This window comes from Homo sapiens, chromosome 17 (assembly GCF_000001405.40).
Source record: "Homo sapiens chromosome 17, GRCh38.p14 Primary Assembly".
In the NCBI taxonomy this organism is placed as follows: Eukaryota; Metazoa; Chordata; class Mammalia; order Primates; family Hominidae; genus Homo; species Homo sapiens.
Window position 1 is genome coordinate 39647722 of NC_000017.11, and position 19954 is coordinate 39667675.

A 19954-nucleotide genomic window follows, 5' to 3' on the forward strand; every position below is an offset into this window, starting at 1 on the left:
TTGAGGAAAGGCTGACAGGTGGGATTCAGTAGCTGCTTTTACCCATAGCAGTCTGGTTTTTATCTGTTTTATATATTGAGGTTCCAAGTAAGGTATTACTCTTTTAAATGTTTCTCTTGCTTTGCAAAGGAGGTGGTTTGTAGCTGGGTGTGGTGGCTCATGCCTGTAATCCCAGTACTTTGGGAGGCTGAAGTGGGAGGATCGCTTAAGCCCAGGAGTTCAAGACCAGCCTGGGCAACATAGACCTTGTCTCTACAAAAAATTTAAAAATTAGCTGAGCATGGCCGGCCGCGGTGGCTCACACCTGTAATCCCAGCACTTTGGGAGGCTGAGGCGGGCGGATCACGAGATCAGGAGATTGAGACCATCCTAGCTAATACGGTGAAACCCCATCTCCACTAAAAATACAAAAAATTAGCCAGGCGTGGTGGTGGGCGCCTGTAGTCCCAGCTACTCGGGAGGCTGAGGCAGGAGAGAATCGCTTGAACCCAGGAGGCGGAGCTTGCAGTGAGCCTAGATCGCGCCACTGCACTCCAGCCTGGGCGACAGAGTGAGACTCCGTCTCAAAAAATTAATAAAAAATAAAAAAATAAAAATTAGCTGAGCATAATGGCATGTGCCTGTGGTCCCAGTTACTCGGGAGGCTGAGGCAGGAGGATCACTTGAGCCCAGGAGGTCAAAGCTACAGTGAGCCATGTTCACGCCTCTGGACTCCAGCCTGGATGACAGAGTGAGATCCTCTCTTTAAAAAAAGGCAGAGGGAGATGATTGAAAAAAACCACTGACTTTCCCCCAGATAAACAGAGGCTTGGTGAGAAGGACTTGCCCAGAGTTAGGCGGAATTACTGGTTGCCCGGAGACTGGGGTACAGGTTCCTTAACTCTGGGCCAGTGCTCTGCCTACTGTACAGGCTGTCATTTGGACTTTGAGCTGCTTTCGGTGGGAGGGTGATATCAAACCCCCTTTCTTTGACTCTTGGCCAACTGTCCCCGCCCCTGCCTTCGAGCCCCCATGCTTGGCTCCCACACTCCCTGGCATATTTCAACTCTCCCGGGCTCCCGCAACACCTCTGCTCTAGCCCCATCTGCGTCTCTCGCTTCGACAGGGACGTCTGGGCATGTGAGTGTCAGTGTGGTTGCCACTCCAAGTGCGTCTCACACCCAAGCTGCTGCCATCCAAGTCCTGTCCCCAAGGAGAGAGAAAGTCAGAGGGAAAGACAGACAGACACAGAAGTAGACTGGAGTAGGCGAGCGACAGCACCTGGAAGTGAGGCAAGGACCAAGGAGGGAGGGAGGGAGGAGAGAGGCAGATAGAGAAGAGAGAGAGAAATGTGGAGAAAGTGGGAGAGACTGATGGGAGTGGAGAGAAAGACTCATAAATGGGAGATAGATTGAGAGGAAGACCCAGATGGGGAAAAATAAAGACAGACATGGATGACGATATGTTCTGTGGGCTGTGGGGAAACAGGCATTCTTGTACATTGCTAGTGGGAGTGCAAACTGCAAAGGGAACTTGGCAATACCTCACAAAACCACATATGCAATTTGACCCAGCAATACCACTTCTAGGAATCTGTCTTGAAGATGTATTTCCAACAACGGGAATATATATATGCGCTCAAGGTTATTCACTGCAGCATTTCTGGAATTACAAATCTAAGTGCTCATTCATGGGAGACTGAATAAACTATGGTTTGTCTATAAAATGGAGTACCAAGCATCTCTATCAAAGAACGAGAAAGACAATGTAAAACTGACATGGAGTGCTCACCAGGATATACTATTTAGTGAAAAAATAACAAGCAAGAGCCCATCTGTAGTAAGCTACTGTCCATGTAAGAAAGAAAGGATATAAGAAATATAAGGCTGAGCGTGGTAGCTCACGCCTGTAATCCCAGCACTTTGGGAGGCCAAGGCAGGCAGATCACCTGAGGTTGGGAATTCAAGACCAGCCTGGCCAATATGGTGAAACCTCATCTCTACTAAAAATACAAAGTTAGCTGGACATGGTGGCACGTGCCTGTAATCCAGGCTACTTGGGAGGCTGAGGCAGGAGAATCGCTTGAACCTGGGAGGTGGAGGTTGCAGTGAGCTGGGATCGCGCCACTGCACTCCAGCCTGGGCCACAGAGTGAGACTCCGTCTCAAAAAAAAAAAAAAAAAAAAGATATACAAAGAAAGCATATTCCTTTATACAAAAGAAATATAAAAAGGATAAAGCAGACACTAAAGCTGTAAGTTACTGCTCACACGTGTAATCCCAGCACTTTGGGAGACCAAGAAGGGAGGATTGCTTGAGCCCAGGACTTCAAGAACACCCCATCTCTTAAAAAAAAAGATAGGTTACTGTTAGGGGTTGAATCGTGTCCCCCGCAAAAAGGATACGTTGAAGTCCTAACCACCTTTACCTCAGAATGTGATCTTATTTGGAACTGGGGTCATTGCAGATGTGATCAGTCAAGGTGAGGTCATCTTGGAGGAGGGTGGGCCCATTATGACTGGTGTCCGTATCAGGAGATGGCAGTGTGAAGACGGACACATGGGAAGAGCACCATGTGACAGCGAAGACCGGTCGGCGTTTGTGGCTACAAGCTGAGTCACGCCAGATTGCTCGCACACCGTCAGGAGCCAGGAAGAGGCAAGGAAGGGGTCAGAGGGAGCACGGCCCTCCCAATACCTTTCTCAGACTTCCAGCCTCCTGAACTGTGAGATGATAAATGTCCATGATTTCAAACAAACAAACCCAAAATGGCAGACATGGGAGAGGGAGAGGGAGACAGCTAAAAAGATAATTACAAAGGAAATAGGCCAGGTGCAGTGACTCACGCCTGTAATCCCAACACTGGGGGAAGCCAAAACAGGAGGATCCTTGAGCCAGGGAGTTTGAGACCAGCTTGGGTAACATAGTGAGACCCTCGTCTCTAAAAAAAATAAAATAAAATGAATTAGCCTGGTGTGGTGGCGGGCGCCTGTGGTCTCAGCTACTTGGGAGGCTGAGGCAGGAGGATCGCTTGAGCTTAGAAGTTGAAGGCTGCAGTGAGCCATGATCGTGCCACTGCACTCCAGCCTGGTTGACAGAGCAAGACCCTGCCTCTAAAAAAACAAACAAAACCCCACACAGATGGAAAGTTACTTTGTGAAACAGATACAAAAGATGAGGAGAGATGGAGAGAGTGAGGAAGGGAGACAGGTCTGGCTGCAAACAAAAGGGCTGTCAGAGGCAGGGAAATGTCACCTGCCCTGGAGCTGCGGCCTGTCACCATGAGGGATGCACTGAGCATGCAGTCTGGCACAGATCTGGCTGATAGATGTTGGGGATCCCATTGCCAGCGGCCTGTCACATCCCCTCCCCATCGCCTGTTTCCAGAGCTGAGCCCAGCTTTTCCGTAGCACTGTGGAGATGAACCTGTCATGGGGCTCAGAGTGTGGTGTTGGGAGTAGCCTTGGCCTGGTGCCTCTGCCTCACCTGCCCTCCGACTCTGCTGCAAACAGTCAGTTCCTGTTTGTGGGGGCTTGCACAGGGGCAGAGGGATGGACGAGCTGGCTTGCTCAGAACCTCCTGCCAGCCACAAACTGAGCTGCGCTTGTTTTGGACGTGGTAGACTGAGGGGCCCAGGAAGGTAGTCCACATAGTGAAAGTGTGGCAGGACACCTCAGGAGGGGAGAGTGGTTAGATCTTGCCTCCCAAGATCAGGGACAAACATCTAGAGCTTCCCTTCCTCTAGACCCCAAACTACTCCCTGGTGCTGGGATGTGGGGAGACTCAGGGAGCCTCTTGGTCAAGTCCCAGAAGCTCAGGCCCCCACCAAGCTGGTGAGTTTTTGCCTCCCCGCTTCAGCTCCTCTGACTTTCTTTTTTTTTTGAGACGGAGTCTCGCTCTGTCACCCAGGCTGGAGTGCAGTGGTGTGATCTCGGCTCACTGCAAGCTTCACCTCCTGGGTTCACGCCATTCTTCTGCCTCAGCCTCTCGAATAGCTGGGACTACAGGCACCGGTCACCACGCCTGGCTAATTTTTTATTTTGTATTTTTAGTAGAGACGGGTTTCACTGTGTTAGCCAGAATGGTCTCGATCTCCTGACCTTGTGATCCACCCACCTCCCGCCTCCCAGAGTGCTGGGATTACAGGTGTGAGCCACCGCGCCCGGCTTCCTCTCTGACTTTCAGTGGGACCTTTCCTTCTCACCCAAGGGACGGGGCCTCTTAGAGCCCAGCACATGGGTGGGGCAGAGACTGTAGGCCTGGGGGCTACATGGCAGGGAGGGAGTGCCAGAGTTCCTTTTGTCTTTAGGGTTCCTGAGAGCCCGATGCTGGCACAGGATGGTAAGGGATTGGGTAAATCCATTCACCTCTCTGGGCCTTGGTTGTCGTATCTGTAAAAGAAGAGGAACCGTCCCTGCCCTGAGTGGACGTGAACGTGGGTGTGGATCTGTGGGCATGGGGTGGGGGGCGGTAGAGCACTGGGCTGGCCTCCAGAGTGGCTGCTTCCTACTCTCTTTAGGGTTTGCCCTGTTCCTGTCTGTTATGTAGCATGGAGCTGAGGGCCAGGAGACCTACTGAGCATTCATTTATTCAACAATCAATTACAAAGCACCTATTGCATGCCAGGCATTGTGCTGGGCACCAGGGAGACAGCAGTGACCATGTCAGATAAAGCCCGTGAGGCCATGGAGTTTACAGTCTAGTGAGAGAAGGGTAAACAGTGAAATAAAACAATAAAGATCGTTTCAGATAGTGACCCACTTCACTGAAGAAAGGAAGGCAGCTTACTATCATGTTATGCTGTGATTTGGAGCAGGAGGGTGGGAGGCTTTCTGAGGAGAGGACTTTTGAGCTGCCTGTTGAAGGGTCTGTGGGAGAACATTCCAGGCATGGGGAGAGCCAGATCGAAGGTCCCAAGGCAGGACAGGGCAGCTGTATTGAGGGATGTAAAAAAGGCCAGAGTGGCGGTGGCAGCAAGACAGAGAGAAGGGCTGGGCAGAGGCCACCTGCAGGCCTGGACTGAGAGGGCCTGGTGAGGAGACTGTTAGCCTGAGAAGGGTGGGAAACCGTGGGAGGGCATTGCAACGCATTCTCTAGGCCGGCTATGTGAAGAGCAGGAGGGTGAGAGAGGCAGCCTGGAGGCCCACCCGTGAGAAGCAGATTGCCATGGTCCAGGCAGAGATGGTGGTGGTTGGACCTAGGCAGGGCAAGGGGTGGTGGAGCTGAGAGGGACCAAGATGCCTGCTCTCCATAGCTCCAAGCACACAGACACTGCTCTAGGAAGGCCCTCCCAGTTGCCATGGATTAGGGGGTGGGAGGGGAAGACTGGCTGCTGGGAGGGAATGTGGCTTTGTGCTTGGAAAACAAAGAACAGAGCTTGGGGCCCTCTTCTCCTGGGGGTGGTGGCAGGCCCAGAGGCTGTTGACAGGACCAGAGGCTGGAGCTCAGGGCTAGGCCTGGTAGGAGCAGGCTACAGCCCCAGGGATCCAGGAGGGGGTAGGTGCCCATGCAGAGGGACCCCAGAGCCCTCCAGGGGTGAACCCTGTGGCTGCTGGGCTTGGGGCAGGGAGCACCAGGAAGGAGGACAGATAATTAGCGGAATGCTCAACCCTGCAGCCTGGGAGCCAGGCTGGTGGAGGACATTTGGGCAACAGTGCCCTGGGCCCTGGGCTTGGGACCCAGTGTAGAGACAAATGCGTTTGGGAGCCAGTGGTGGCCCTGGTGGCTGTGTGGGAGGGACAGGAGGAGTTTGACAGGACTCTGCCTCTGCCTCGCCCCCAGCCCTGCTGCTGAGGCCGCGCCCTCCCCGCCCTGAGGTGGGGGCCCACCAGGATGAGCAAGCTGCCCAGGGAGCTGACCCGAGACTTGGAGCGCAGCCTGCCTGCCGTGGCCTCCCTGGGCTCCTCACTGTCCCACAGCCAGAGCCTCTCCTCGCACCTCCTTCCGCCGCCTGAGAAGCGAAGGGCCATCTCTGATGTCCGCCGCACCTTCTGTCTCTTCGTCACCTTCGACCTGCTCTTCATCTCCCTGCTCTGGATCATCGAACTGAATGTGAGTGGGGGCGAGGTGGGGGCACAGGCCATGTTGCAGGCCACCCGGGCCTCAGTTTGTCCATCTGCCACATGGGAGGGCTGCCTCTCCCCTGGGGTTGGTTAGCTGGGTAAAATGAAGACTGGGAGGAACAACAGGGGTTCTCATATTCTGAATGAAGGAATGTGGAGGGGTTCGGAGGGGTTGTGTCATTTGGCCAAGGTCCCTCTGCACCCAAGTGTGTGAAGGCAACGGCCTTGAACCTACCCTCCAGCTGAGTTCATGCTCTTGGCCTCTGCCCCATACTGCCCCCTAGTGGAGGCTCCCGAGAGAGGAGGAGGGGGAGACCCAGCTCTGGCAGAGCTGTTGAAACCTTTGTCTTCTTTCTGCCTGCCACTGCCCTCTGGCTCCAGTTGGTTCATTCATTCGTTTGTTCGATCATTCATTCATTCATTCATTCATTCATTCAGCAAACATTTTTTGAGTCTCTGCTGTGTCCCAACCACTGTGCTAAAACCAGACGCTAGCCAGGTGTGGTGGTGCACACCTGTTGTCCCAGCCGTTTGGGAGTCTGAGGTGGGAGGATTGCTTGAGTCTAGAAGTCTGAGGCTGCAGTGACCCATGATTGCACCACTGCATTCCAGCCTGAGTGACAGAGTGAGACCCTGACTCAAATAAATAAGTAAATAAAAGCAGAGGGCACAGTGGGAAGCAAAACAGGAAAAACTCCCAGTTCCCAGTGGCTCTAATGAGATGCTGCCGGGCAGCCTGGAGACCAGAGCTGCCCCACCCCCACCCCACGCAGTGCTTGGCCCACCCTCAGGAACACAGTCTAGTTGGCAGTGGCCTGATCTGGTCTCCAGGCAGGGCCAAGCCCACATAAGCAGGAGCCCTGGAAGCAGGGCACCCCAGGCTCAGTTCTGTCCCAGCTCCTCCTCGGCTTTGGCCCGATGACCTCAGCAAGGGACTCAGCCCCTTGAGTCCTCCCCTCGTTTTCCTTCTGCAGCATGGGCTCCCCATCAGACTTCCGGATGGCAAGGGCCCTTCCTCCAGGTCTCATGCTTATGTGACAAGAAAACAATGTCTTGTTAATAGAGGTGATGAGCTCAGAGAAGGGGCCAGCTCCGGGCAAAGAGATTAAGTTTGATTCTGGGCATGTTGAGCTGGAGGGAGAGACAGGGCTCTGAGGGTGACTGTCGATTGTGCACCAGAGATGAGCTGGCACCTTCAGTGAGCTGGAGCCATGGCCATGGATGGCCCTAGGGGCCATCTTACCCATGAAAAAGCTGTGGCCCAGCAGGCTCAGGACCTTCTGCAGAGCTTCTAAGGTCTTAGGCAGACTTCCTTTTCAAGGTCCCATCCAACATCAAAGCAAACACTAAAACTTACCTGCATCCTTCATTGAATACTTGTTTCCTTACCCAAAAAGAGCTGAAAAGATTTTGATAATTTTACTTTCGTTTTGTTTTGTTTTGAGACAGGGTCTTGCTCTATTGGCCAGGCTAGAGTGCAGTGATGTGATCATAGCTCACTGTAGCCTCCAACTCCTAGATTCAAGGGTTCCTCCCACCTCAGCCTCCCCAGTAGCTGGGACCACAGGTGCATGACCACATTTGGCTATTTTTTTTTTTTTTGGTAGAGATGGAGTCTCACTATGTTGCCCAGGCTGGTCTCAAACTCCTGGGCTCAAGTGATCCTCCCATCTCGGCCTCTCACAGTGCTGGGATTAGAGGCATGAGCCACTGTGCCTGGCCTCTGTAATTGTGCTTTTGAAGTTATTTGGCTGTGTTGGCTGCGATTGCTCTGCAGTCCTCATGCGTACCTGGGAATTCTTGCAAAGTGAGAAGATCTAACTTACTAATTGTTTTCAGATGTCATGAAACATTTCAGAATCCTGCACTGAACAATTAGTAGAGTCCACATGATGTTTCCCTTGGCAGACATTTAATTAAAATTGTATTGATTTTCAGTCTTGTAGTTTTACTTTTGTATTTGGGAGCATATATTTTTAGTTCGCTGACAGACTGTGTCTGTGTTGCCCAGTGGTTACAAGGACTCAGTAGGGTCGTGCTGAGCAGGGGGTTTGGAGCCAGAGAGTGGCAAAGCAGGGGCTGAGACTTGGCTCTCCCGAGTCCTGATCGGTCAGCACCGGTGGGTGCCCAGGCTGGAAAGAGGAAGGAGGACAGAGCTCTGAGGCCTAGTGACTGAGGGTGGAAGGGGCTGCAGAGCCCAGGGCAGAGTCTGAGGAGCAAGAGGAGTGCTGGGTGGTGTGGGTTGGGTGGGATGGGGTGGGTGGGTGGCAGGCCTGGGGGCCTCACCGGCAGCCAGAGGAGAGGTGGCATCAGATTTCATGGAGCTGGGGTGGGCTTGAGGAAGAGGCACATGGTGGGGCTGTGTGCTCAGTGGGGGAGCATCTGTATCTTTAACAAGCCCCCCCAGATTTGGCTGCCCTGCTGGAGAGCGGAAGCCCCAGTCTAGGCGGTTGTGAGGGGTCTTCCTCTCCAGGGCTCCTGGGCTCCATCGCCCAGAGTCCCTGTGTCCTCCCTTCTCCAGGGTGGCTGGTGCCCCACCTGAAGGAGCCTAGGCCCGTCACCCCCGTCATTCCAAGGAGTCAGGTCGCAGTCTGGCCTGGTGTCCATCCAGTTCCCTCAAACCTCTGGACATTGGAGTCAGGGCCAAGGCCTCAGGGGTCCTGGTGAAAATGTCTGGTGGGCTGGGGTAGGGACAGGGGCAAGGACACATCCACTCCGTCTCCACTTCACCCTCTCAAGCAGCGTGATGGATTTTGCCCATTAAGCATAAACCTAATCAATTGATTTGCCACCTGAGGCTCCGTCTGACACCACTGCCCACCCCCACCCCCCATCAGCCCAGATGGATTATGGCTGGGAAGATGGAGCACCGCAGTGCTGGGAGGGAGATGGGATTCTGTCAGAGGTGGGCTTTCGGCGCCCTTCTGCTGGCCCTGTATAGGGCGCATTGCCTCCCCTGCACAGCCCCGAAGCCTCCAAGCCTGCCCCTTCCTGGGCAGGGTGCTGGAAGCTAGCCCTGCCCATCGGGGCGGCCTGGATCCTTAGAGGACTGGTATTGGTGCCTGAGGTCTCTGGCCGTGGGCTGAGATCCCTTGGTGCTTCCAGGGCCCCCTGGGTGGTGGCTTAGCATCAACAGCCTCCCCTCCAGGTTCCTCCATCCCCTACCTCTTGCCCCTTCCGGGAGGTGAGGGGCAGCCCCAGGCCCTTGCTTCTACCTGCAGAGCTCTTCCTGTCTCCCTCTCACAGACCAACACAGGCATCCGTAAGAACTTGGAGCAGGAGATCATCCAGTACAACTTTAAAACTTCCTTCTTCGACATCTTTGTGAGTGGCCTTGGCTGATCCTGGGGACCCCGGAGGCAGAGAGGGAGCAGGGAAATGACTTCTGCTGGGTTCTCTTTTGGCAGCATATATCCAGTCTGATCAGAGACTCGGCTCCCATCCTTCGGGAGCCATCAGTCATTAAAACCTTTGCTCCACAAGGCTGGGCGCAGTGGCTCACGCCTGTAATCCTAGCACCTTGGGAGGCTGAGGTGGGTGGATCACTTGAGGTTAGGAGTTCGAAACCAGCTTGGCCATCATGGTGAAACCCCGCCTCTACTAAAAATACAAAAAATTAGCTGAGCATGGTGGTTCGCACCCATAATCCCAGCTACTTGGGAGGCTGAGGCAGGAGAATCACTTGAACCTGGGAGGCGGAGGTTGCAGTGAGCTGAGACCGTGCCACCGCACTCCAGCCTGGGCGACAGAGCGAGACTCTGTCTCAAAAAAAAAAAAAAACCTTTCCTCCACAAAGCCCCCTTCAGAGAGCCCCAGGTGGGAGAGGGAAGATAAGACCCCTGTGCAAGGTTACATCCAAATTGTCCCAGAGACATGCTGACTCAGTCGTTGTCCCCTGAGGTGTGCATGCCCATAGGAAGGGAACGTGGGGGCAGGACCAGAGGGGAGGTCAGCCTGCAGCAGGGTGGGGGGCAGTAGCTTCCTGTGACTGCCTTGCTCCCGTCCCCCACCAGGTCCTGGCCTTCTTCCGCTTCTCTGGACTGCTCCTAGGCTATGCCGTGCTGCGGCTCCGGCACTGGTGGGTGATTGCGGTAAGATGCCACTTTCCTGGCAGCTTCTGGGCCCTGGCAGGGCTGGTGGAAGGGATGGGATGGAGGAGGACTCACTTCCCAGCCTCTGCCTTCCCCTTCCTCCCTCCCTCCCCTGGGCAGGTCACGACGCTGGTGTCCAGTGCATTCCTCATTGTCAAGGTCATCCTCTCTGAGGTCAGTGGCTCAGGGTCTGGCCAGTCTGGTGGGCATCAGACCTGAGTGGTATGCTTCTAGAGAGGAGCATTTCTCTAATTTGGGGTGTCTGTCCCTGTTGTCCGGGTTAGGGGGAGAGGGAATCCTGTCCTTTGGTATCTATAAGGAATCATCCTTCACCCGCTTCCCTGACTTAGCCCCTTGCAGCTCTAGGAATCAGAAGGTTCTTTCTCCAGCCTAACCCCAGTTTATCCTGCTGCAGACTTGAGAGGGTTCCCAAGCAGCTGCTACCAGGAATGGGGTGTATGCCAGTTTGGCTGGCTAGAGTTGGTAGCCACAGAAGGGGGCTCTGGGTTTGGGGTGACCCCTGCCATGGAGCTCAGCCCCCTCCCTTCACAGCTGCTCAGCAAAGGGGCATTTGGCTACCTGCTCCCCATCGTCTCTTTTGTCCTCGCCTGGTTGGAGACCTGGTTCCTTGACTTCAAAGTCCTACCCCAGGAAGCTGAAGAGGAGCGATGTGAGTGCTTGCGGGTAGGGGGGTGCAGCGAGGGTTACCCACAGCCCCAAGAGAGGGGAGTTGCGGGCATGAGAGTCAGTCTGAAGCATCTCGCCACCTCTGAGCAGCCTCCAGTAGCCTGAGGGGGAGCTTGGGTGGGGGTACCCCAGGCTGCTAGGGTGTAACTGTCCTCGGTCCGGGACCGAGTCTGCTCCTCCAGGGTATCTTGCCGCCCAGGTTGCTGTTGCCCGTGGACCCCTGCTGTTCTCCGGTGCTCTGTCCGAGGGACAGTTCTATTCACCCCCAGAATCCTTTGCAGGTGAGGGCTGGTGTGTGGGGGAACTGCTTTCAGGGAGGGGCCTTGTGAGGAATGGGGTAGGCTGGGTCTGTTCTTTCTATTCCTTCTATCAGGCTCCCTGGGGAAAGCCAGCAACCCTCTCCCACACACTTTTATCCCCCACATCCTTGCACTCACATACCCGAACCCCACTACCTCCCCACACTCTCTCCCCACCCCTTGCCATTGTCATCTGTGCCTGTTTTCTGCAGGGTCTGACAATGAATCAGATGAAGAAGTTGCTGGGAAGAAAAGTTTCTCTGCTCAGGTATTTGCCTGCCTACCCCTAACCCCTGCCCTTGGAATGGGTGCCTGGAGGAGGGCGGGTGCAGGGGTCAGCCGGGGTGGGCAGGGGTTTCCCAGTAGAGGCTGAACCTCGGGCAATGCCCATCCGAGTGTCTCCCCCACCACCAGTCCGGCCCCCCTGGTCTGCCTCATGCCTGGGCACACAGGTGGAGCAGCCACAAGCCTGCAGGGCCCAGGGAGACCAGCCCAGATCCCACATGTGGCTGGGCCAGGCCCCTCTGGGAAGCATGTGGTATGTCTAGAGAGAGAACAGGCCACGAACATGGTGGACTGCAGGCCCCAGGCTGACCCCTCCCTGCCTCCTGCTTCCGTCCAGGAGCGGGAGTACATCCGCCAGGGGAAGGAGGCCACGGCAGTGGTGGACCAGATCTTGGCCCAGGAAGAGAACTGGAAGTTTGAGAAGAATAATGTAAGAAGCCCTCTCCCACCTGACCTTCCCATGCGTGTTAGGAGTTTCTGTTCTCTTTTCTGAGGCCTGAGGAAGAAACCCAAAGATTACATGGGTTGGAGCCATATTCCTGCCCCAAGAGAGGGAGCTGGGCCCTCGGGTCGGCAGGAGGCTGGGCTGGATTGGACGTTTCCCCCGTGCCCCTTGGCCCCCCTTCCCCGCACCCCCCATGTTTACTTCCCTGCTGTTCTGCCCCCTTGGCTCCAGGCTTTGAAGGGGAAGCCAGGCTTCTGCTCTGCATCCGTTGTTTCGTTTCATGATCAAAACAACATTATCTACAAAGATCGTAGAGAGCTTGGAAAACAGAGAGCAACATGCCCCAGTCCCTCTCTCTGGCCAGTTCTTGTGGCAGCCCCATTGGCCTGGAGACATGGTTTTTTGTGGTTGCAGCTGCAGCTGTCCCCCCGTCTTTTAACTCGACATCAAAAGCCTCTCTCCTGCCAGTGCCATAGGTTTGTTAGAGCTACTGTTTTGTAACAGCTGCTCAGGTGTCCCCAAACTCCTGGAGTTTTCCACCCTGAGCTGTTAAAAACCTGCCCTGCCTGTCACCCATTTCTGTGCCACCAGCCCACCCCCTGCCTCCACTCTCCTCCCTGCCACCTTCTGTCCCTGCCATAGGAATATGGGGACACCGTGTACACCATTGAAGTTCCCTTTCACGGCAAGACGTTTATCCTGAAGGTGAGTGAGGGGAGCGGGTGTCCTGGAGCCCCAGACAGCACAGGAGGCTCCAGGAAGGTGCCGAGGGGCCCTCTGGTGGGTGCCCCCCACCAAGAGGGAAGGGTTGGTCTGCCCGAGCCCATCTGGCACCACCCAGCCCTCTGCCGCCCTGTCCCAGACCTTCCTGCCCTGTCCTGCGGAGCTCGTGTACCAGGAGGTGATCCTGCAGCCCGAGAGGATGGTGCTGTGGAACAAGACAGTGACTGCCTGCCAGGTGAGCCCAGTCTGGCTGCCTCTTAAGGCACAGATGGGGGCACAGCCACGCCTCAGTGGGATCACTGAAGCACTCAGCGCCTCAGCTGCCCCATCTGTACAGTGGGTGTGATGGTAACAGTGCCTGCTCGGGAGGGTCGGGAGGAGGGCAGGAGGAGTGCTCATCAGGCGCTGCCCAGGGCCTGCCTGTGGCAATAGCAGTTAGTAAAGGGGCCTGGGGTGTTCCCATCCCTGGGGTTTTCCTGGGGCGACCTGTTCCAAAAGTCTCCGTTGACGGCCCTCAGATCCTGCAGCGAGTGGAAGACAACACCCTCATCTCCTATGACGTGTCTGCAGGGGCTGCGGGCGGCGTGGTCTCCCCAAGGTGAGTCCATGCCGGGCCCCCTCCTTTCAGCCAGGTCTTCTGCACTTTGGCCTTGGGTCATTGTCCCCTGAACTAACCCTCCCTCCCGCAGGGACTTCGTGAATGTCCGGCGCATTGAGCGGCGCAGGGACCGATACTTGTCATCAGGGATCGCCACCTCACACAGTGCCAAGCCCCCGACGCACAAATATGTCCGGTGAGCCTCACTTTGCCTGGGGTCACCCCTGCCAGCCCCTCCCCTGGGAGCATTGAGCAGTGCAGGGTACAGCATGTACAGCTGGGCACTTCCCCTGCTGAGGCTGCGTTCCTGTTCCCTGTCCCGCTGGGCTCTGCTCCTCCTGGCTACTAATCCTGCTAATCTTGCTGCTCTGTCTGTGGAGATGGGGGGTGGTGGACAGCTGGAACCAAGCCACCAAGGCTGGACGGGATGTGCGGCGGTGGCTGGCTGGGGTAGACCATGGATGGGGACCCGTGCAGGGAAGGGGCCTGAGAGCCATGTGCTCACTCTGGGCTGATTGACCTGAGCAGGAGGCTCTATGCTCTGGGTTTCATCTTCCTGCCTAAGGAGACTCGGGTCCCCTTTCGTCCTCCTCACCCTGTCCTCACTCCGTCATCTTTCTCTGGAGTGGCTCAGGAGTTCCCCCAAAGATAAAGGGATTATGGCCTTCCCGCATCTGTGCCTGGGCTTCTGGAGTCTTCCCTTTTGTCCAGTCAGGCTGTGGTGCTGCGGGTGGCCCCCTCCCATAGACCCCACTCTTCCCCATCCCCTCCTGGGTTCCAGCAGGAGCACTGTTCTTTGAATAGGATGCCAGGCTCTGCTTTGGGCACTGGACAGACTTGCTGGGTGCAGGGAAGCTCACTTCCTCTCTGGATGCCAACTTCCTTATCTGCAGAATGGGCTTAGGTGTGCTCAGTGGAGCTGAGGGAGAATGAAATGGTGATGGGATGTGAACCGTGCCTCCCAGGCTTAGCCTTCTCCTGAGCAGGTGTCCCCTCCTGAAGGGGAAGGGGTAAGAAGCGCCAGCCCAGCCTACTCTGCCATAGCAGGGCTGACCTAGAATCTCTGGACAGAGTGTATGAGGGCTGGGAAGGTGGTGAGCTCTCTGTCCCTGGGGGTGTGCAAGCACCAACAGGCCGTTGTAGGAGGATTCAAGCATCACAGAGTGGGTGGGGGTGGAGGGCCGATTCTGCAGCCCATGGGACACCTGTGCTAAGCCTTGTTCAGATAGGGTAGCTCTGCCTTTCTGCTTCCAGCCCAGTCCCAGCTGGGCCAAGAATGGAGTGTGAGTGGTAGGGGCTGCGGGGGGGTGTCAGGGCCTCACTCTGTTCCAAAGTCCCCCCAATGATGCCTCTTTCCATAGGGGAGAGAATGGCCCTGGGGGCTTCATCGTGCTCAAGTCGGCCAGTAACCCCCGTGTTTGCACCTTTGTCTGGATTCTTAATACAGATCTCAAGGTGGGGTGCTGGGGGGCTGCCAGGTGGGTTCTGTGGAGTGGAGGGGACCCTGCTGCTGACTTGGTTGCTGCATGACTTTGGGGGCTCTCTGCCATGCCTGGGCCTCCCCTTTGTCAGCCACCTTTCTTACTTGAAAATTTGGGTCAGGGTCCAGATGGTCTCTTAGCCCTGGGTTGCTGTAGGGCATGTGCCCCCCCTTCTTACCTCTGAGTCCTGAGGCCCTGAGGAAGGGTGGCTGGTGGCCAGCCCGGCCCCACCCTGGTCTGTTTGTGTTGCTGGTGCCAAGAGCCAGGCCCAGCATGTTCTTCCTGCCAGGGGTGAGTGGGAGAGGGCGACCCAGGCTGGATTCCAGAGCTGCACCTGCATTCTGGCCCAGAGCCCCCCTGCTGGTGCCAGCTGCAAGGGGAGACCCTGCTGAGGGCAGGCCATCAAGTGTGACTTCTGCCTGCCTTCCCCCAGGGCCGCCTGCCCCGGTACCTCATCCACCAGAGCCTCGCGGCCACCATGTTTGAATTTGCCTTTCACCTGCGACAGCGCATCAGCGAGCTGGGGGCCCGGGCGTGACTGTGCCCCCTCCCACCCTGCGGGCCAGGGTCCTGTCGCCACCACTTCCAGAGCCAGAAAGGGTGCCAGTTGGGCTCGCACTGCCCACATGGGACCTGGCCCCAGGCTGTCACCCTCCACCGAGCCACGCAGTGCCTGGAGTTGACTGACTGAGCAGGCTGTGGGGTGGAGCACTGGACTCCGGGGCCCCACTGGCTGGAGGAAGTGGGGTCTGGCCTGTTGATGTTTACATGGCGCCCTGCCTCCTGGAGGACCAGATTGCTCTGCCCCACCTTGCCAGGGCAGGGTCTGGGCTGGGCACCTGACTTGGCTGGGGAGGACCAGGGCCCTGGGCAGGGCAGGGCAGCCTGTCACCCGTGTGAAGATGAAGGGGCTCTTCATCTGCCTGCGCTCTCGTCGGTTTTTTTAGGATTATTGAAAGAGTCTGGGACCCTTGTTGGGGAGTGGGTGGCAGGTGGGGGTGGGCTGCTGGCCATGAATCTCTGCCTCTCCCAGGCTGTCCCCCTCCTCCCAGGGCCTCCTGGGGGACCTTTGTATTAAGCCAATTAAAAACATGAATTTAAAAAAAAAAAAAAATTCCAGCCCCTCCCACTGCCTTGCCTCTTGAGGGAAGAGAAAGGCAGGCAGCAGCTTGGATGAAGAGGGAAGACCCCTCACACAGCCTCTCCTGGGCTCACAGGAGGGCGGAGCCCGGGGAGCCAGTTCCTGAAACATGCCCCCCATTCCCCCCCCGCCCACCCCCCACTCCCCGCTTTCCTGACCAGTTCAACTGAGCAGATGACTGGTCAGAAAAAAATGCCCCGCCCCCTGCCAGGCTTCAGCGGGGCAAGTTTAAAGTCTCTAGTCCAGGAATGGAGGTGGGGGTATGGGCACCTGGCAGTGCCCACAGCAAGCCTTGACTGTGTGGCCTGGAGATGGGGCCTGAGCTTCAGGGTCACTGAGGCACCTCTGGGATCCAGGCCACCTGGAGCCCCGGACCTCCCAGACTCCACTCACCCATTCCCTCTCCCCGCACGGCACTCACACCAGGGGCGGCCTGGAGCCCGGATCGCAGGGCGGGGCCAGGCCACTGCCTGCCTTCCTCCTCCCTCCCGGCTGGCCTGCCCCCTTGCCTGCCTGCATGCAGGCTTCCAGCAGAGCCAGCTTCTTCAGAGCCAGGTGGATCCTGTTTCGGTCCTGCCTAGGTGTGTGACCCTGGGCGAATCTACCTCTCTCAGCTTCTGCTTCCCACTTTATGAAAATGGGACTGATGTCACAGGGTTGTTATGAGATTAAAAGATATGAAGAACCGGGGACAGTGCTCAGTAATCAATAGTCTGCAGTTCTGCACCCACGTGCTCCTGGGTACTCTGCCGTCCCCACAGGGTCCTCAGCTCAGCCCCTGTCACTGCCTCTCCTGCCACCCTTTGTCCACTCGGCAGTGTTCTCACTCCTCATCCCCCCACACCCACCACCTGTCTGCCAGCCTCTTGCACCATGAGTTGCTACTCCTGGGGTGCTGGACTGTCCCCACAGCCATCTGTCTCCCCTGCTCCCCATGAAGAAGAGCCAGTCCCCTCCCAGGTAGCACATCAGAGCGGGCAGGCTCCAGAGCTCTTCTGGTCCTCTTGCAGTGGCCAGAAAGTGGGGAAAGGGGCCCAGAGAGGGGCAGGGACTGACCCATGGTCACACAGCCTATTTATGGCTGATCTGGAGCCAGGCCTTCTGACTATCACCCATCAGAGCCCCTGGATTCCCATTTCACCCAACACAGGTGTTGGGGTAGAACTGGGGGCCCTCCACCCCTACTAGCCTGACTGTCTCCTGAGACCTGTCTCCTAAGACCACTTACCTGACCACTGGCCATGGGGAAGGAAAACACCTGGCCAAGGCTCATGCCCCAGGTTCCCAGGCATGAAGTTGACTGTCTCCGCCCCTGCTGGTGTGGTGAGGGTGACTGGGGACTAGGCACTAGGCCTTTGGTGCAGGCGCCTGAGGACGTGGTTGCACTCTCCCTTCTGGGGATATGCCCTTGAGCCCAGGCAGAGGAGAGCACAGCCAGGGCAGGACCTGGCAGCCCTGGTACAGAGCCCAGAGGGGGCATCAGTTCCTGCTGGTCCTGCTCTGTTTACAGACAAGCTGCTGTCCTCCCTGCAAAGGGGAGTGGGTGGGGCAGAGGGCAAGTGCCAGGGGGGCACAAGGCTGGGCATGTGGCTGGCATGAGACGGTGTCTGAGTAATGTCAGGCACCTGGAGGCATTGACCCCAGGACCTTGGACCCCAGACCTCTGACCGGGGGGCAGCCAGCGTCCAGGTACCCCAACCCCTGCCCTGGGTCCGGCGTCCCCCCATTAGTGAGTCTTGGCTCTACTTATAGCATCTGACACCAGAGGGGCCGAAAATAGCCCCTGGAGAAGGGGGAGGAGGGGGCTATTTAAAGGGCCTGGGAGGGGAGAGAGAATGAGGAGTGATCATGGCTACCTCAGAGCTGAGCTGCGAGGTGTCGGAGGAGAACTGTGAGCGCCGGGAGGCCTTCTGGGCAGAATGGAAGGATCTGACACTGTCCACACGGCCCGAGGAGGGGTGAGTGTGGGTCTGCTAGAGCCCTGCCTCTGCTCCCCCAGAGCACCCTCACTGAGCCATGAGGCCAGAGCATGAAGCCCTGGAGAAATTTCTGGGGGTGGGGGCAGGAAGAATGCCCCATGGGGAGAGCAAAGGGGAACCACCCTTCCTGCCCCCAGGTCCCAGCAGCCCAGGGGAGCCCCCCACCCAGCCTGTGCCCAGAGAGCAACAGCTCCCAGGAGCTCACTGCCCCTCCCCTCTCCCCAGCTGCTCCCTGCATGAGGAGGACACCCAGAGACATGAGACCTACCACCAGCAGGGGCAGTGCCAGGTGCTGGTGCAGCGCTCGCCCTGGCTGATGATGCGGATGGGCATCCTCGGCCGTGGGCTGCAGGAGTACCAGCTGCCCTACCAGCGGGTACTGCCGCTGCCCATCTTCACCCCTGCCAAGATGGGCGCCACCAAGGAGGAGCGTGAGGACACCCCCATCCAGCTTCAGGAGCTGCTGGCGCTGGAGACAGCCCTGGGTGGCCAGTGTGTGGACCGCCAGGAGGTGGCTGAGATCACAAAGCAGCTGCCCCCTGTGGTGCCTGTCAGCAAGCCCGGTGCACTTCGTCGCTCCCTGTCCCGCTCCATGTCCCAGGAAGCACAGAGAGGCTGAGAGGGACTGTGACTTGGGCTCCGCTGTGCCCGCCCTGGGCTGGGCCCTTCCTGGCTAGGACTGTGGAGGGGAGCTGCTGGCCATGGCTGCTTTGTAGTTTGCCCAGAGTTGGGGGCTAGGGGAGGGGGGAGCCAGAGGCCAGGATGCCTGAGCCCCCTGAGTTCCCAAAGGGAGGGTGGCAGAGACAGTGGGCACTAAGGGTGGAGAGTTGGGGGCCAGCACAGCTGAGGACCCTCAGCCCCAGGAGAAGGGACAAAAGGTACTGGTGAGGGCAAGAGGTGCCTGGGAGGAGTGGCCCTGATCCAGGAAAATGTGAGGGGAATCTGGAACGCTCTAGGCAGAAGAAGCTGGGAGGGAGGGGGAGGTGAAAAGGGCAGAGGCAAGGATGGTGGGGCCCCCAGCACCCTCTGTTAGTGCCGCAATAAATGCTCAATCATGTGCCAGAGTTGCATCTCTTTCCTTGTGGTTGGGGGGGCTGGCCCATGGGTGTCCCCTCAATGCCCACTTCTGGGACCAGGCTCCGCATCTGAGCTAAATATGGCAGAGCTAATGGGTACACCCCATACTTGGGGTGGGGGTGGGGGCAGGACAGAGCTGTAAACAGGGTGCTGTCTCCAGTCTCCTTCCCGTACCCTGACCGCTGCCCAGTCCTGGCTTCTGTGTCCAGCCCCCTGGCACTGGGTGGTAACCAGCAAGCCAGCTGGCATCCGCATCCAGGGTTTGTTTCAATGATGTCTCGTGGAGAATATGGAGGGGCTGGTGCCAGGACTGTCCTTGGCTTTGCCTCGGGGTGTGAACGGGGTCAGTGACCTCTAAAACTAACCTGCCTCTCAGTTCTGAATCCAGACAGAATCAATCCTCAGCTGTGTCTCGCTCCACACCCCCTGCCCTGGAAGCCAGGGAAGGTTGGAGGTGCTAGGGGGTCAGGCTCCCCTCTGTGACCCCTGCAGCTGTTGTGGTGACTCATGTCCCAACCTAGCTGCCTCTCCCAAGGAGACTTTCCCCTGGGGACAAGGGGGAGGGAATGGCATGGAGGAGGCCCACATCAAGCGGGGCCAGGAACCCACGGTGGCAGGAGCTGGGCTGGTGACCTACCCAGGGCAGAAGGGCCCGGGACTCATCCAGAGGGGAAGGAAGGGGTCTTCAGGAAGACCACGGAGATGCCACAGGCAGAATTGGCTTCCCATCTGGGAGATAGGTGGGGAGACCCTGGCATTTTGACAGCCAGAACCTGGGGTGCTGAGCAGAATCTTCATGCCTGGCCTGGCCGCTCCTTCGGAGGGAAGCTGGAGGGTGGGCTGCGAGAGGAGTGGGGTCAGAGCCCCTACATCCGCAGGACCCCAAATCGGCTGGGCCCCAAGGCCCGGACTGCGCTCCCCGGTGGCCCCGGCGGCCCTCCGCGAATGCGTCCTGCCCCTCCCCTGCCCAAGCCCTCTGCCCTCACCCGGGTCCGGCGCCGCCCCCGAAGTGGCGGGAACAACCCGAACCCGAACCTTCTGTCCTCGGGAGCCCCCAGATAAGCGGCTGGGAACCCGCGGGGCCCGCAGGGGAGGCCCGGCTGTTCCG

The 19954-nt window shown here is 57.5% G+C and overlaps 2 protein-coding genes across 17 annotated transcripts in view, besides 4 other annotated features; both read left to right on the forward strand.

The window, feature by feature from the left end:
* Window positions 1-16480, forward strand: part of STARD3 (StAR related lipid transfer domain containing 3) — a 27058-nt gene extending 10578 nt beyond the window's left edge. For 3 of the 16 annotated variants that reach the window (XM_047435162.1, XM_047435159.1, XM_047435163.1), the window contains exons 2-15: window positions 5760-6029; window positions 9287-9364; window positions 10054-10131; window positions 10252-10305; window positions 10684-10801; window positions 11001-11099; window positions 11330-11385; window positions 11740-11832; window positions 12490-12552; window positions 12710-12805; window positions 13089-13168; window positions 13260-13364; window positions 14530-14646; window positions 15083-16480. In XM_047435162.1, coding sequence (XP_047291118.1) covers window positions 5811-6029; window positions 9287-9364; window positions 10054-10131; window positions 10252-10305; window positions 10684-10801; window positions 11001-11099; window positions 11330-11385; window positions 11740-11832; window positions 12490-12552; window positions 12710-12805; window positions 13089-13168; window positions 13260-13364; window positions 14530-14646; window positions 15083-15332 — 1506 coding nt within the window. In that variant the 5' untranslated portion in view covers window positions 5760-5810 and the 3' untranslated portion in view covers window positions 15333-16480. Of the gene's footprint in view, window positions 1-5391; window positions 5475-5759; window positions 6030-9286; window positions 9365-10053; window positions 10132-10251; window positions 10306-10683; window positions 10802-10987; window positions 11100-11329; window positions 11386-11739; window positions 11833-12438; window positions 12553-12709; window positions 12806-13088; window positions 13169-13259; window positions 13365-14529; window positions 14647-15082 lie in introns of those variants that run through there. The other 13 variants (XM_047435165.1, NM_006804.4, XM_047435160.1 and 10 more) reach the window with 12 other exon arrangements.
* Window positions 6281-6842: an enhancer, noted in NCBI's record as "H3K27ac-H3K4me1 hESC enhancer chr17:37810255-37810816 (GRCh37/hg19 assembly coordinates)". NCBI's record gives its function as "activates a minimal SCP1, AML or CMV promoter by ChIP-STARR-seq in naive H9 embryonic stem cells {active_cell/tissue: H9 hESC(naive)}" and the evidence as "EXISTENCE:reporter gene assay evidence [ECO:0000049][PMID:30033119]".
* Window positions 10495-11370: an enhancer, noted in NCBI's record as "H3K4me1 hESC enhancer chr17:37814469-37815344 (GRCh37/hg19 assembly coordinates)". NCBI's record gives its function as "activates a minimal SCP1, AML or CMV promoter by ChIP-STARR-seq in naive H9 embryonic stem cells {active_cell/tissue: H9 hESC(naive)}" and the evidence as "EXISTENCE:reporter gene assay evidence [ECO:0000049][PMID:30033119]".
* Window positions 17628-18833, forward strand: TCAP (titin-cap). Its single transcript, NM_003673.4, has 2 exons — window positions 17628-17748; window positions 17995-18833. The coding sequence occupies exons 1-2, from the start codon at window positions 17639-17641 to the stop codon at window positions 18386-18388; spliced, it is 504 nt and encodes a 167-aa protein (NP_003664.1). The 5' UTR covers window positions 17628-17638; the 3' UTR covers window positions 18389-18833.
* Window positions 18047-18784: an enhancer, noted in NCBI's record as "H3K27ac-H3K4me1 hESC enhancer chr17:37822021-37822758 (GRCh37/hg19 assembly coordinates)". NCBI's record gives its function as "activates a minimal SCP1, AML or CMV promoter by ChIP-STARR-seq in naive and primed H9 embryonic stem cells {active_cell/tissue: H9 hESC(naive and primed)}" and the evidence as "EXISTENCE:reporter gene assay evidence [ECO:0000049][PMID:30033119]".
* Window positions 18785-19522: an enhancer, noted in NCBI's record as "H3K4me1 hESC enhancer chr17:37822759-37823496 (GRCh37/hg19 assembly coordinates)". NCBI's record gives its function as "activates a minimal SCP1, AML or CMV promoter by ChIP-STARR-seq in naive H9 embryonic stem cells {active_cell/tissue: H9 hESC(naive)}" and the evidence as "EXISTENCE:reporter gene assay evidence [ECO:0000049][PMID:30033119]".